Source organism: Homo sapiens, chromosome 17 (assembly GCF_000001405.40).
Source record: "Homo sapiens chromosome 17, GRCh38.p14 Primary Assembly".
Classification (NCBI taxonomy): Eukaryota; Metazoa; Chordata; class Mammalia; order Primates; family Hominidae; genus Homo; species Homo sapiens.
Window position 1 is genome coordinate 45,806,143 of NC_000017.11, and position 15,634 is coordinate 45,821,776.

The 15,634-nt window shown below is 54.8% G+C and overlaps 2 protein-coding genes across 8 annotated transcripts in view, besides 3 other annotated features; both read left to right on the plus strand.

Annotated features, from left to right (window-relative positions):
* The window catches only part of LINC02210-CRHR1 (LINC02210-CRHR1 readthrough), a 215,483-nt gene that overhangs the window by 185,797 nt on the left and 14,052 nt on the right, over positions 1-15,634 (plus strand). The window contains exons 4-6 of one of the 2 annotated variants that reach the window (NM_001256299.3): positions 868-955; positions 10,321-10,440; positions 15,213-15,298. Coding sequence is in view for 1 of the 2 variants with exons in the window: in NM_001303016.1 (NP_001289945.1) it covers positions 10,417-10,440 (24 nt within the window). In the remaining variant the exon portion in view is untranslated. The remainder of the gene's footprint in view (positions 1-867; positions 956-10,320; positions 10,441-15,212; positions 15,299-15,634) is intronic. The other variant, NM_001303016.1, reaches the window with a different exon arrangement.
* CRHR1 (corticotropin releasing hormone receptor 1) overlaps positions 1-15,634 on the plus strand; it is a 51,509-nt gene that overhangs the window by 21,823 nt on the left and 14,052 nt on the right. For 3 of the 6 annotated variants that reach the window (NM_001145146.2, NM_004382.5, NM_001145148.2), the window contains exons 2-4: positions 868-955; positions 10,321-10,440; positions 15,213-15,298. In NM_001145146.2, coding sequence (NP_001138618.1) covers positions 868-955; positions 10,321-10,440; positions 15,213-15,298 — 294 coding nt within the window. The remainder of the gene's footprint in view (positions 1-867; positions 956-10,320; positions 10,441-15,212; positions 15,299-15,634) is intronic. The other 3 variants (NM_001303020.2, NM_001145147.2, NM_001303018.2) reach the window with 3 other exon arrangements.
* Positions 231-732: an enhancer, noted in NCBI's record as "H3K4me1 hESC enhancer chr17:43883739-43884240 (GRCh37/hg19 assembly coordinates)". NCBI's record gives its function as "activates a minimal SCP1, AML or CMV promoter by ChIP-STARR-seq in naive H9 embryonic stem cells {active_cell/tissue: H9 hESC(naive)}" and the evidence as "EXISTENCE:reporter gene assay evidence [ECO:0000049][PMID:30033119]".
* Positions 733-1,232: an enhancer, noted in NCBI's record as "H3K4me1 hESC enhancer chr17:43884241-43884740 (GRCh37/hg19 assembly coordinates)". NCBI's record gives its function as "activates a minimal SCP1, AML or CMV promoter by ChIP-STARR-seq in naive H9 embryonic stem cells {active_cell/tissue: H9 hESC(naive)}" and the evidence as "EXISTENCE:reporter gene assay evidence [ECO:0000049][PMID:30033119]".
* Positions 7,341-8,197: an enhancer, noted in NCBI's record as "H3K4me1 hESC enhancer chr17:43890849-43891705 (GRCh37/hg19 assembly coordinates)". NCBI's record gives its function as "activates a minimal SCP1, AML or CMV promoter by ChIP-STARR-seq in naive H9 embryonic stem cells {active_cell/tissue: H9 hESC(naive)}" and the evidence as "EXISTENCE:reporter gene assay evidence [ECO:0000049][PMID:30033119]".

Below are 15,634 nucleotides of genomic sequence, written 5' to 3' on the forward strand. Positions count from 1 at the left end.
CTCTAACCCTGTCGGGAGGGGGGTAATGCGATGGTTGTGTGGGTGGGTTTAGTTGAAGAAGGGGCAGCCCTCCAGGTATAGGGCCTATGCCACTCCCTTCCCAACTGGGCTAAAATTCTGGAATCAGAGTGACACGGAGCCTTCAGGGAGGTTAAAGGGCAAAGGTCTGCCCTAGAATAGGGTGTCCATCTTTCCAGACACATTTATCCCTTACCTCTCTGTGCCTCAGTTTCCTCATCTGCAAATAGGCACAGCCACACCAACCCCAGGGAAAATTTAGTGTCACGGCAGATGTACAAGAGCTTGATAAATGGTGAGGCACAATTTGTGATGACGGATAATTAGGCAGGCGGGGATGAGGGCCCAGGAAACTGTTCACAAAACAAGAGGCCAGCTCTGGAGGAAGGGAGGGAAGTGGGTGCACGCATGGGGATGTCAGCGGCCATGGTGGTCAGCGGGCCGGTGGGAGGGTGTGTGTGTGTGTGCACATGCACACGTGTATATGGTGGGACACCGTTGGACCATGTTCAGGATTCCATGGGGATGGAGGTGGCTTCCTCTGGCCGCACTCAGCCCCTAGGGGTAAAATTCGCCTCTTCCCTAGGAGCCTGGGCTCCTGATCCTGTCAGCTTCCCTGCCAGGCCCCTCCAAGAGCAGGGCAACTCCAGACCCTCCAGGCAGAGAGGACCCAGAAGGAGGAGAGAGGAGATGAGGGGCGGGTGTCTGGGAAGCGACTGGATGTGTGACAGGGTGGGAGGGGAGGCAGGCAGGTGCAGTGTCACCCCTGCAGTTTTCCTGGGTGATGGAGCAACATGCTCATGGCTCATGGCACCTGCCTAATGTGTCCTTCGCCTCCTGTGCCTGCAGGCCCTTCTCCTTCTGGGGCTGAACCCCGTCTCTGCCTCCCTCCAGGACCAGCACTGCGAGAGCCTGTCCCTGGCCAGCAACATCTCAGGTGAGTCCCCTCAACCCCCTCCTGCAAGATTCCTGGTCACCACAATGCCCCCTACCCCAGGTATCCCAGAGCCTGCACACAGAACCATGCCCTAAGGCAGGATTTGCAGAGTCATTTCCTCTCCAGGGCTCCAAGCAATTCTTCACATCTCCACCGAGCACCGTGTTGAGAAGGATCCTGAGGTTGGGTGTAAGGTTGGTGGGGAAGAGCTGCAGTTGGTTAGTAGCACCTGCCGTGGGCACAGGAGTTTGCAGCAAGGATTCTGAGTAGTTATCTTCCCTGCTTTAGGGTGGGCACAGGGGAGGGCATCCCAGCCCTTGCTGCTGAGTTGTGACTCGGGGAGGCATCAAGGGACGGAGGAAAGGCTGCCACAGTCTGTGGCTAAAAATGCCCAGAGTGTAATACTCCACGGTGCTAACCCGTGCCAGGCACTGATCAAGGACTGGAGCTGTATTAACCCAATTTGCACAATGTCCCTCTGAAGTAGGTGCTGTTGCCCCCATTTTACACATAAGAAAACTGAGGCACAGAGAACTAGTAAGCGCCAGAGCCCTGAGTGGAGCACGGGCAGCCCAGCTTCTGGTTGTGGTCTCCAGCGCCGTGCTCTGTATCTCTCCAATAGAAAAGACAGCATAGCTGCAAATATTATTAATATCTGTGTCACTTTACCATTTACAGAGTGCTTTTGCATAATCATCTCGTTTCATCCTCACAAGAGTGTAAAGCCGAACGTTTGTACAGTTGAGGAAACTGAGGCATGGGAGAGTTACATAACCCCCATGGCACCATGCAGCCAGTACATGGCAGTGACTGGGACCCAAATCTAGGTGTTTGGGCTGCCTAGGGCATGTCTTTTAAAACTTTGGGTGTGGTCCTGGGCATGGCTGCTGCTGGGCAAAAATGGAGAGGGTCCCTGCACCTGAGTGTCTTTGGAAGGCTTGTGGACCTTCTATTTAAGTCTTCAAGCCTCTCCTTGATTCACACCAACTCTTTCATGAAGCACCTACTACACAGCAGGCCCCACGCAGGGCACTGGGGGAAACAAGGGGGCTCACAGGCTAGTCTGGGCATCGAATCCACAAATGCATGTGCGATGAGGCAGAGTGGAAGACGCATGCTTGCAAAGAAACAGACGCAAGTGTCTGCAGGCGGGCAGGAGGCCTTCATTTCTGAAGGTGGCTCTGTGGGAACAGGAGGCCTCCACATCTCATGGTAGCTGCTTCCTGGCCAGCTGTTCCTTCACTAGGGAGAGCCTGGGGGCAGAGGAACAAGCCCTGGACTTGGAGAAGGCACACTGGGTCCCTGTGCTGGCTCACAGAAGGTGCCTGGTCATGTCCCGGCTAGGGGTGGGTACTGGTAGCCACAGGGATGAGCATACCCTCAACCCCTCTTGAACCTCACCTTGCCCAAGTGTAGAGGGATAGGGGGGCTGTTACCTGCCCCAAGGATCTCTTATGAGATTCAATGTACTAAGTTTTATGGCAATATTTCACAAACTGTAAACTGTAGAGTGTCATGCCAGTACTAGGTTTGGTTTGGTTTGGTTTGGTTTGGTTTGGTTTGGTTTTAGAGATGGGATCTCACTCTATCACCTAGGCTGAAGTGCAGTGGCACAATCATAGTTTAGTGCAGCCTCGATCTTCTGATCTCAAGGAATCCTCCTCTCTCAGCCTCCTGAGAAGCTAGGACTACGTGCACACCACCATACCTGGCCTAATTTTTAAAATTGTTTTGTAAAGACAGGGTCTCAGTTGCCCAGGCTGGAGTGCAGTGGCACAATCATAGCTCACTGCAGCCCAGATCTGGGCTCAGGTGATCCTCCTGTCTCAGCCTCAGCAGGCTTTTAAAAGGCTTACTGTATAGCTGGAATGAAGGGAAGGTACTTGCCAGTAATTGCTCATAATGATGGAGGGAGCAGGGAGGCTAAGCAGGGGTGGTGCAAATCCAGGGAGGCTTCCTGAAGGAGGAATTTTCAAGGTGAATATTAAGAGACACTGTTAGTGTGAACTGGCAGAAGAGAGCCAGTGCTGTGAGCTACAGCAGGAGGTGAGCAAGGACCAGTAGGTGGGTTTGGCGGAAGGACCAGGAAGAAGTGAGGAGGGAGGAGTGGGAAACTGAGAAGGTGCTAGGAGCCCAGAGCATCTGGCTGCAAAGTTGATTAAGCTGTGCTTGGGGAATGGGGAAGTAAGTTCTTGAGCATGAGTCTGGAGTTCTAGGAGAGAGAGATGGGGAGGGAGGAGAGCTGCTCAGAGGCTGGGCCTGAGAGGAAAGGCCCTATCCCCAGCTCCCCCATGCTCTGGGGCCAGGTTAGGCTCTATCAACTTGTTCGTTATGCTCAGGAGGAGAGACATCCCTGAGCCCACAGAGGTGTCACCTGTCCTTGGAGCCAGCAGGCCATGATGAATAGTGTTCATTCCCTAGTGATTTGTACTCTGTGCCCGTGCCCCCAGCCCAGCCCAGCCTGCCTGGCTGCATGGCACGCGATCCATCACCCTCCACGATGGCCTCTGATAATGGGCCATTTGTCTTCTGACTCGTAGACCTACCCAGACCGACGGGCACTGGTAGAGACAGATGGTGAGGGTGGGGCGGAGGGGCGAGACAGATGGATGGGCGTCTGGCCGGGGCGGCTGGCACCGAGCCAGGGCCTTTGGGGGGCCTTTTACGTGCCTCATGCCAGGAACTGGGAGAGAGTGGGTCCCCAGGGCTGAGGCCTATCATGTGGCAGACCACAGACTTGGCGACTCATAAAATCATGGCATGAGTATGACAATGCCAGGAGGTAATAGAATCATTTACTAATGACATCACAGACAAATAGAATCTGAGTTGACAATTACCTGGGTTCATCAGTTCTCATCTCTGGTCTTAAGGTAGTGAATGATAATTAATAATAGCTAGGCCAGGCACGGTGGCTCACGCCTGTAATCCCAGCGCTTTGGGAGGCCGAGGCGGTCGGATCACTTGAGGTCAGGTGTTCGAGACCAGCCTGGCCAACATGGTGAAACCCCGTCTCTACTAAAAATAAAAATAAAAAATTAGCCGGGCTTGGTGGTGGGCGCCTATAATCCCAGCTACTCAGGAGGCTGAGGCATGAGAATCGCTTGAGCCTCAGAGGCCGAGGTTGCAGTGAGCCCAGATCACGCCACTGCACTCCAATCTGGGCGACAGAGCGAGACTCTGTCTCAAATAATAATAATAATAATAATAGCTAATGTTTATTTAGTGTCCACTGTGTGTTGGACGCCATTCCAAGTGCTTTAATCTCATTCAATCATTACAATACTGTAGTCAGGAATATTTTTATCCACATGTTACAGTAGAGGAACCTAAGGCTCAGAGAAGTTAAACGAGTTGCCCAAACACACTAAGCAGTTACTAAGCAGTGGCTGCAAGATATGAACCATGTGGGCCTGACTTCAGATTTTGCCACCAGCACTGCGTTATGCGGCCACTCAGAGCCAGGGTGCCCAGGGCCCGGTGTAGTCAGCCGTCTAGGGGTGCAGGGCCACCCCTGCAGTTTTCCGTACCCACACTAGGTTTGCACACGGCCCCATATTCTCCTCCATGCCTCCCGTATGCCTGGCACTGTACTAGCTGCTGGGAAGGCAAAAGTGAAGAGCCCACAGACCCGCAGGACAGGAGGGCCATCCACTTGTCCTGATGGATCACACACCCTACAGAGGCAGCTTTCTTCTCTGCCCAGCCAAACAGAAGGCAGCTCAGCCATGAGGTGGCCGAGCAAAGACCAGGTTTCTGCCACCCTCTCCATGCCAGGGGACCCAGGCAGAGGCCCTGCCCATTCATCCCACAGCACATTCCTCTGACTGGGCAAGAACGTGTGTTTCACAGGCTGCCCTTGGGCCACCTGGCTGCTCCCCCTCTGGACAGCCTGGGCTGAGTCCCCCTCCTGGGTTTAAGCCAAATAGGGGGAAGGGCTTCCCAGCCTCAGGGCTGCTGCCAAGTGCCCACCTCCAGAAGCCGCTGATGGGAGACCCGACGTAACTGGGACAGAGCCAGGTTCCAGCTTCCTCTGAAGTTATCTACCATGGGCGGATCTGCCAAGCACACGTGGACCCTGAGCCTGATGGGAGGCAAACTGTGTAACCTACCTGGGGGAAGAAGCCAGTGCCTGATTGTGCACAGCACTAAATAGGCCACCTTCAAAGGGCTCTTACCTGTTCACTAAAGCAGCCCTCCCAGGACCCTGACCCCGCAGGGTTTCTTCCCTGGCAGGTGGGAGCCCTCCACACCTCTCCTCTGCTCTCCCTTTGCAGGGATTTGAGGCAGTCTGACCAGAATGCGGGCCCCACGCATTTGTTCTGTGCATGTATGGGGAAGGAGGAAGATATAGGACCGGTTTTTGCATTACTTTAGTCCACTTGACTCCAGCAGCTCACCCCCAACCTAAAGGCCTGTGGTGACGTGCGCTGGTGAGTGGGTTGGTTCTACTCCCACATCCCCAACCAGGAAAGACCCTGAAGGCGTCTACCTGCCCCGTGAATGAGGGAGTGAGCCACAGAGTGATAGGAACGTTGACACCTCAGACACACCAAGCACACACCTGCTCCGGGGGTCCTTGTACTTGCAGTTGCCTCTGCTGAGAACACTTTCCCCGCAGGTTTTCTCCCTCACTTCCTTTAGGTATCTGCTTAAATGGTAGTACTTTAGAAGCCACCACACTAAAAGAGCACCTTGGTCAGCCTTTATCTCTTTGCACTGCTTAGTTTTTCTCCATAGTATTTCTCACTGGTTAACAGAAATGTGTGTGTGTGTTTGCTGCCTCTCCACTAGAATGTAAGCACCATGAGGACAGGGCATTTATTTGATTCATTATTATATCCCAAGCCCCTTGAACATTTCTTAGGTAGTCAGTAAATAACAGCTGTCTCTTGGTATCCATGGGGCACTGGTTCCAGAACTCCCCATGGATATCAAAATGCAGGGATGCCCAAGTCACTGATATAAAATGGAGTAGTATTTGCATATAACCTATGCACATCCTCCTGTATACTTTAAATCATCTCTAGATTATTTCTAATACCTACTACAATGTAAATGTTATATAAATATAAATAGCTGTTATACTGTACTGTTTAGGGAATAATTTCAAGAAAAAAGTCTGTACGTGTTCAGTACACTTTTCCCCAAAACCTATGGATATGGAGAAACAATTGTACTTGTTAAATAAAGAGCAAAGTCACTATTCCTTAATTTACCAGGAGAGGCACTGTGGGACAGGGAGCTGTCAGGAGGCGTTGGCACCTAACAGCACCTCTGCCTTTGTGCAGCTGGTTGGTAAATTGGCTTGGCTATTTGCAAGGTTGGATTACTCTGGTCCAAATTCCTCCTCATCCCAGGACTATGACGGCTGACTAGGAAAATACCTCCACCTGCCAGGAGAGCAGAAGAGGTCAGGCTTTTGTGGCACTGGAACTGGAGGGAGGGGACATTGGCCCAAGAATCAGAAGGTCCTTGAGGTCCTTATAGCCATCAAGCTGAGTGACACAGAAACTGACTTCCTGCCTTCTCCCCTTCCCAGCTAGGGGATGGACACCCTCTCTGTCCCCAGCACCTGTGAAATGATCTTTCTCTCTGCCTCCTTCTCCTGACTTCCCGCCTGCCTCTCTCTATTTCTTCCTTAGTGTCTTCTTCTCCATCTTTTTTCCTCTGTCTCCCCACCTCTCTCCTGGCCCACTTGGCCTCCCACCTCCCTCCCTCTCCGCCTGTTTTCTCCTCCTCATTGTAGTCGGGTGGCTTAAGTGAGTGGCATGAATTAAGTCGTGCAAAGCGCCTTTCACAGTGCCTGGTTTATATTATAGTAGTGTCCAACAAATGATCCCCCTCAAGTCCTATACACAATTTCCCTTCTGAGGCCTTGTCCCTACAGGGTCCCAGGGACCCCCCACTCTCCTCCTCCCTGGACTCGGTGTCCGCAGGACGCAGGATGGCGATCTGAAATCCTTGTGGGGATTTCAGACACAGAGACACTAAGGCCCAGAGAGGGCAGGACCCCGAGGCCTTATGGGAAGGCACCGAGCCCACAAGGCAGTCCCAGGCCGGGAAGTCCAGTGGACAGTGCCAACTGGCCAGGAGCGTGGCGCCTGAGGCCCTGTCCTGCTGCCTCCTCCCTGCCCTTGTCCTCTAGGTCCCCTCCCTTCTAACTCCACTCCGCGGCTGAGGCCCTTGTGCCTTTGGCCACGCCCCCCCAACCCCCCCACCCCAAGCCCCTGACCCAGCAGGAGTGCTGACCTTTCACTCGGGGATGGGGGAACTTTGTCTCCTCGCCCCTTTTCATTTGGCTTCTCCTCCCCGTTCTTGCAGCCTCTCTCTCCCTTTCTTCCCGTCTCACACAGACTTTCAATTCCTTCCAGGATTTTCTGGGCTCTTAATGTAAAGGTTGCCACTGATGCTGTGTCACCAGCGCCCCCTCTGTGCATCCTTAGGAGCTGCGGGGGCCAGGAGGGAGGGGGAGGCGCGGCGCTGCTGGGGAACTGGAGTCGCAGCTCTGCGATCGAGGGGCAGCTGCCCAGATCAGGGCCAGCTGTGCAGCTGTGGGCAGCACCCTGAGCTGGCATCAAAAGATGAGCATTGAAAATCCACTCCCGTCTCAGTATCTTTGGTTACTGATTGTCTTGGAATAAGCCATTTGGCCACTTTGGCCTCAGTTTTCTTATCTGTAAAACAAGAGAGAATTAGCACCCATGGTGGCATAGTAGGTGGCTGGGAACCATACCACAGAGGAGAGGCAAATGGCTTCTGACCTGCCCACCCCTTGAAGGTCTCCACGTCCCTGGCCAGCTGTGGACGGGGTCAGGCCTTTGGTTAGAGCCCTTAGAGCTCCCAGCAGTGGCCGGTGCAGGTCCTCTAGGCCAGAAGGCCTATCCTCAGTGGCTGGCCTCTGCCTCGGCTCTGGCCTCGTCCTCGCTGTGGCTGGTGCCCAGTCCTTTCCTGCCCTCCGTGCCTTGCGAAAGCAAGGCGCAAGAAGACTGGCCGGGGAAGGGAAGAAGGAAGGGCAGGGGCCACACTGATGGAGAGGGTGTGTTCCGTGTGTTCATTCCAGACGCTGCCACATGGAACATTACATTTGAGCCTAGCTCCCTAGATACTGTGGATGAATGAGTGAGGAGTGAATGAGCAAGCTACTGAGGAAGGTACAATGGTGCCATTAAATGAGATGGCATATGTCATGTGTGCCTGGCACACAGTCAGCCCTCAACAAACGCTGCTCCCTTCCTGCTGCCCCCTTAACTGTCCCTCACCCCCTGTGACTGACTCACAATGTGGCGTAATGGAAAGAGCACTAGATTTAGAGTCCAAAATACCTGCCTATGAGTCTTGGTTCTTTCACCCATTGACCCATGACCTTGGAAAAGTCACCTAACTTCCCTGGGCCTCAATTTCTTCATCTGTAGAAAGGAAATAATCACATTGCCAGATGTATGAAGATCAAACGAAATAGATGAAGAGCTTTGAAACAGCAGGGCATGGCCTCTATACGATCCTCCCCTCCCCGCGGCCACATGCCCCCAGCTCTCCCCCCAAGTCCCTGTCCCCGGGCTCAACACTGTCAGCAGGATCCAGGACAGGTTAAAATCCCAGCCTGGTACGCCGTTGCCTCGGATGGCCCTGCTTCCTCACTCCACTGCTTCCACTGCCACTCCGTGATAACATTCACAGAGACTCCGCTGTGGCACAGCACCTGGGCTTGGCCCACTCCAGCCGCCTGGCCCGCAGTCACCTCGTGTCCATTAAGCCCCAATCCAGATTTCTTTCTCTTTCAATTAAGCCACTTGGCCTGAAGGCCTCTGCCCCTTGAGTCCTGATTTGCACAAATGCCCTATGAATAGCTTTGATTAGAAAGAAAAACCAGCATTTGGTACAAGTGCTGCTCGGCACTGCCCTGAGTCCAGCAGAGAAAGGGAGCCAATTTAACCCAGTGCTGTTTCCTGAGAGACTGGGGACAAGCTAATTTGGGGAGGAGATGGCAGGCAGCCCCAGCCAGGGCTTGGCAGCTGCTAAGGCCTCGGCCCAGGCCTGAAGAGGCTGCCCCCACACGCGCTGGTTCATGGTTCCTGGCCCTCCGTGGCTTGTCTGTCCACTCTTGTGCCAATTCTAGGTTATTAACCTGGGGACACTGGGGCTCAAAAGGACTGGTGTGCCAGCCTCACTCAGAGGGAGGCACTAAAAGGCAGAGAAAGAAGGGGCAGCCTCAGGGGGGTGCCAGGACTGTGCCAGCCCCCACCCTTTGGAGGCCATATCCACCCTCCCCTCCTGAAGTGTCACTGGGCCTCAACTCTGCCCCAACATCCTCTCTCTCTCGCGTGCTCTCTCTCTCTCCTCCAAAAAGCAAATATTTGGAAGGGGACTTTGACATCTTCTTTCTAGTTCAGATGTTTATATCTCTTTGAGTCACAGACCCCTTTGAGAATCTAATGAAAGCCGTGGGCCCATTTCCCCATTAAAATGCATGTATACACCAATATTTTCATTACATTCAGGGTCTCTGTGAACTGTTGAAGTTTCCAGTGGGCTGAGATTAAGAATTTCTGATCTGGTTCAACCACTTGATTTTATTATAGATGAAGACAAGACACTAAGGCCCAGAGAGGGCAAGTGACTTGCCTATGATCTCACAGCAAATTAGTGGCACAGCCCATTCTGAAGCAGTGGGCCCAGACTCCCAGTTCAGTGTGTCCTTTCCACTCCCCCAGATGGTGTCTCCCTCCCTTTCCTCTCCATAGCTCACTTCTCCATCAGTCCTGTCCTAGGGCCCTGCACAGAACAAAGTACACGTGACGTATGGTCAGTAAGTGTGGTTAACAGGCCAGCCGGAAGAAGGAACAGGCCAGCCGGAAGGAGGGCCAACTTCATTTAGCTGATTCTTCCCTGCAGGGCCAGGGTAGATGTGGTTTGATTGCAGAGACGTGAGGGGCTAGGTCAATGATTGGATGGGTCTGTTCCAGGGTGTTCCTGTGATGTCTCAGAGCTCCAGGCTGTCACCATGCGAGGGACCAAGAGAAGTGTCCTTAGGCTACAGAGCAGGGGACCAGAAGCATGCCCAGGCTTCCTCTAAATGCCAGGACCTTAGCTTTTAACACCACCTCCAGCCATCTCTCTTCCTCCTCTGCTCTGGAACCCATGCTGGCTCCCTAGTACCATAGCATCAGATTCAGATTTCTTCCCCTTGTGTCTTCTTTGCATAGGATGAGCTCATTTCTGCACTGGTCATTGTTGTCATCCTGTCCCTAGCTGGTGTGAGTGGGAACGAGTGGGGAGGTGGGCAGAACTCTGGAATGTCCTCTGCCTGCCTGGGGCCTTGGCCGGATATCTTGCTGTGCCTTACCAGCCGTCTCTGCCCCCAGGACTGCAGTGCAACGCATCCGTGGACCTCATTGGCACCTGCTGGCCCCGCAGCCCTGCGGGGCAGCTAGTGGTTCGGCCCTGCCCTGCCTTTTTCTATGGTGTCCGCTACAATACCACAAGTAAGGAAGAAGTGGAGGGTGGACCATCTGCTGGGAGGTGGGACAGGATGGGGAGAGCTTGGAGGTGGGGGAAGGAAGAATGACGATGACAATAACAGTAATACCTCTTGTGGGGATCGCCCCTGTTTTCCAAAGGTCAGCGCTGTATTCTCCTGGGTGCCCTGTGCTCATTACTCGTGATTCTCACAATACCCTTGCAAGACACTATCACGCCTCCTATAACTAAGGCCCCTGGGGCTCAGGGAGGTTAGGGAACTTGCCCCATTGGCAGCTGGTAAGGGGTGAAGCTGGAATTTGCATCCACGTCTGTCTGGCACTTTCTTCTGCCATTAAACTTCAGGTTAGTCTGTTTGAGCCTACTGTAATACCATGAAGCAGGGCAGGAATCATCAGAGCCCCAGCTGTGTGGATAAGAACCTTGAGTCGAGAGGTTCTGAGGCCTACCCCGGGCCCTCCAGCCAGGAGGCAGGGGACCCAGAGTTTCAGATGCACAGGCACAGGCTCAACTTGCATCCTGGATTTGTAGGTGGAGTGGGGCAGGACGGGGTTGACCCAGGGTCCGTCGGATACTTGATCCTCATGTAAACACCTGGCTCCCCGGAGGCCCGAAACCCCCAGAGCCGGGCTTTGCAGCTCCCTGCTATTCCGCCTGCCACTCTCAGAATTAATTTGCTCTCCCCTGTCAATGAGTCAGGTCCCTGCTTATCAAGAGAGCAACAGCTGTGGGCCAGGAGCCCTAACCTACCTGAGGGGAGGCTGGGGGCCTGATCCCTGCAATTGGGGCCTCCTGTGTGCACCCTTGGGTCCTTGTGGTCTTGAACTCAGAGTCCCAAGAGGGCACAGGGGTGAGCCCAGACACCATGTAGTTTACTCCAAGACTCACTGTGTGACCTCCCAGCACATTGTTGCCCCTCATCTGGCCCTCAGCCCCTCATCTGAGGATGGAGAGGGCTGGATGGCTTGGCTTCTAAGATGTCTTCCAGCTCAAAACTCCCAGATTCCTTCTCCTGCCCCTCTTTCCTCTACCAGATGGATTTGGGGTGTTAAGGTTGGGGGCTACAGCAGAGGAGTAGGAAGACCCAGCCAGAAAGTGACTCCCCAGGGAGTGACTTGGGAGGCCAGGGCAGGGCAGGAGGCTGGGGCAGCCAGATCTAGCAGCCTCGTGTGTCTGTACCATGTCCTGGCCATGGGAGGGACTCGGGAGAGGGAGAAGACACACTGGGAGGGGCTTGGGGGCCAAGGGGAGGAAGTGCAGAAAGGAAGAAGGGCCTCTTGGCCAGGTCAGTCCAAGGGGTGCACAGTTGGCCAGCCCCCAATATAGTCAGGCCCATTTTGTAATAAGGAAATTGAGGCACAGAGAGGCTAATAACCTATCGGAGGTCGCAGAGCCTGGAGGCAGGGTCACAGCCCAGGGACGATAACTCTCACGATGCTGGGGGCTGAGTCCTTCTGGAGCCCCTAGGAAGGAGGCAGCATCTGCACATCAGAGGAGCTTCCAGGAGGAGGCACCAGTTCCTGTCATGTCCACTTCCAGAGTGATCCTCGTGTCTGGGCCTACCTGCCCCCACTCCCCAGCGCCACCGCCCAGCCTCAGGTTTCAGATCTGAGTTGGTCACTCCTTCACTTGGAACCCACTCTTGTGTGGCCTCCGTGTTCAGGCTGCTGGGTGGGGCCGGCCAGGCTGTCTGTGGTCATGGCCCTGTCACCTTTTGCAGCCAGCCCTGGCCACCCCCCATGAGTTCCCTCTGCTCCCGTTGCAAAGGGTTACTTGACATGCTCCAGATAAACATTTTCAGCCCTCAGTGCCTGGGCACACACTTCACTTGCTGGCCCTGCCTGAAGTGGCAGTCAGGAGTCCTAAGTTCTCATTCCAGCTGCATCTGCAGCTGGTTAAGTAGCCCTTGGCACAGACCTTCTGTGGGCCTCAGTTTCTACACCTGCAGAATGGGTGGGAGGATTGAGTGTGGTGCTCTCTAGGCTCCCCCGCACTTCCCTCTGTGATCCCAGGAAAGGAGCTGGGGTGATGGCCTCTCGACATGGGGTCAGTCTGTGAGGGCAGGGCTGGAAGACCCCTTTCCAGGTGCCTCCAGCGCCAGATGAGGTGGAGCACGCCCGTGCAGTCAGTCACAAGTGGGTACCCAGAGCTGCACCTCATCATTAAGCACTAATTAATCCATTTACTGATGAGTTGCTGCCAGGACTTCTAGGCCTTCTCCCTAATGCCCTCCCTCCTGCTGCATCTGATCTTCAAAGGGATGGGAAGCATTTCCAAAAATATCTATTTTCCCGTGATTCTTTGGGAGGACTGCTCAGCTCAGCAATTAAAGACAAGGAGGTCGCATCCTCCCTGGCAACGGCTCCCTGCTTGTTGGGCCTGCTTTCTTTCGGATCACCTCCTTTCTCCCCATCAAAGCCTGCTCCCTCTGGGTGACCCAGCCTCTGATGGGACTCCTGACTCTCCCCCACATGTCAAGGGGGGCAAGGGTGTTGAGCAAAGGGGCTCCTCCCACAATATCCACCGGTACCCTTTGATGGGGACAAGGGACACGCTCTGAGTCTCACGTAAGGTTATATAAATACAGCTCCAAGACAATAATAATAAAAATAACAGCCAACATCACATCCCAGGTACAGTTCCAAGCACCTTGTGCATGTTAACTAAAAATATTCAACTCTTGATGTAGGAGCTGCTATTCAGATGCTCTCACTTACAGAGGAGGAAGCTGACAGGTTTCGGGATTTGCCCAAGGTCACACAGCTAGTGGAAGGTAGTGCCAGGATTTGATGCTAGGCTGTCTGGGTCCAGGGGCCACGCTCTTAGCACTACTCCATGCTGCCTCTTAACTCAAGAACCACCCCACCCCATCCCACCACCCCCGGGCCCCTTCCAGCCGGATCTCTGTCCCAAAGCCCCTATCCCTGGAGGTATTTCAGAGCAGCCTCTGGTCCCGGGACTTCCCAGCCATGGCAGAGACACTGGGTTCTCCTGGTTCCTCGTCTCACCCTCCCCTCAGACCTCCATGAAAACCCACTGGGTGAGCCTCAGCCCTCCGGTAACTCATCCCTCATTTGGCAATTGGAGAGAATCAGCAGCCTCTTCACCAACTCTGCCCAAGGGCCTGAGGCTCCCTGAGACTGCGGTCCACTGACATGGAAGAGCTTTAAAAATCCATTTAGCCGGATCTCCCACTGGCCAGCTGTAGCTGAGCAGCTCCTCAGCAGGGGGACCAGGGAGGGGAATGGAGGGGAGTAGTGCGAGAGAGGAGAGGCCACATCTACTTTTCAGCCCTGGAGGCCAGGACGGGCTCCCTATCATCACCTTCTTGTCCTGATGCTGCCAGCAGAGGCAGCTCCCAGGCTGGATGGTCCCTTGGGGATCAGCCAGTCCAGCCCCTCCTTTTATAAATGAGAAGGGGTCCCCAGAGGTCAGTCATGCAGCACGGCAGCAGCTCAGCTGGTCCCAGGGCCCCAGCCTCTAGATCCTCACAGGGTTCTGCCCCATGGGGCTCCAGACTCAAGGACTGGGACTCCAGCAGCTTTCCCAGCCCTGTTCCAGCCCCAAGGGCCACTGGGAGCCACAGGAAGGCCTACAGTGAGGGAGGCTCCAGGTGAGATACTCAGGGCTTCATTTCTCTGCCAGGCAGTTCTGCCTGAAGTCAGAGCCAGAATTAACTCAAGGAAGCATGTTTAGAGCTACTGATGCCAGAGCCGGGTACAGGGTGGGGTGGGGCAACCTCTGCCAGCAGAGAAGATGAGATGGAATTTAGAACTCATGCTGTCCCTTCCCAGCTAGGTTTTAGGACCCTGGAGCTCAAGCCTGGTAGGCATGAAGGAGGGTAAGGGGAACACGTTGGGCAGCTCTGCCCATCCCAGGGCCCTAAAGCCAGGCATCAATTCAGCTCACAGGGCCCCTCCCCATCTCCTTAGAAGGTGACAGGTTCTGGGCCACAGTCCAGGCCGGTGGCTGCACAAACCTCCATATGTCCCTGGGCCACTCTCCTGCCTTCCTCCTTGAGTGACATGGGCCAGGCTAGGAGCAGCTGTGACAGACCTGAGTGATGACATCTCCCCACACACGCCTGTCACCTGTCATTTTCTGTCCAAGAGACCTCCATCATGGATGTTCCCCCCACCCACAGACCACGACCTTCCAACACAGGCCCGCTATGGGGAAGTGCCACCATGGGACCTTCCCCAAGATCTGCCCCATGAACTCTGAGCCCCCATGTGCAGCACAGCCAGTGAGGACCTCCCACGGCAGCCTCTGTGAGATGGCTCTACCACAAGAAGCCCTGTCATGCCACCTGCCACGCGAGCTGTCACCGCATACCCTTCCACCGTGTCATGCCCAGCCTCGTGAAAATTGACTCATGAGGTCTCACCATTTTTTTGCTGTCTTGCAAGACCCCTGAAAAGGAGATTTCTCAGAAGAGCACCTACCTGTCATCTGCCACCACATAATGACTTGCAAAGGAACAGCCCAGGGAGCTGGTCAAGCCTGTCCACGGGCCAGTCCTGTGGGCATGATCATGCCAGCTTGAGTGGGCAGAGCCGGGGGAGCCACCAACCCCTGCTGGAGGCCAATGGGCAGAAAGAGGCAGGAAGATGGGGGTGGTAAGGAAGCCCCTCTCCCCAGCTTCACTACACAACCCCCAGCCAGCAGGTGCCTGTACTGGCCATCTACAGATCCATCTACGCATCCATCTGGGCCAGGATGGTCAGGCAGGGGCCGGGGCTGCCCCGCCATCACTGCCTCTCTCTTCCTTTTCCAGACAATGGCTACCGGGAGTGCCTGGCCAATGGCAGCTGGGCCGCCCGCGTGAATTACTCCGAGTGCCAGGAGATCCTCAATGAGGAGGTGAGGCTGAGCCGAACAAGGCTGCCCATATGGAGGGGAGTCCAGGGTCCCCAGCAGAGTTTTGTGCCTGCTACTTGGAGTCAGGGAGCCAGAGGCTAATGTCAAGGCCCTGCTCTAGTGAAGCTGACTGGGGAGCTGGAGCTGTCAACTTGGAAAAGGCCCATGAGCAGGCGCCCTCGAGGGCAGGCTGGACCAATGGGGCACTGGGCAGGCTCTGATGGTGATGAGATGGGTCCTTGTTCCTTCCTTCCTTCTCCCTGTGCTCATCGGGCAGCCGCTTGCACTGGGCATGGGACTGTCCTGGGGGTGCAAAGGGAGACCAGACTCGGTCACAGG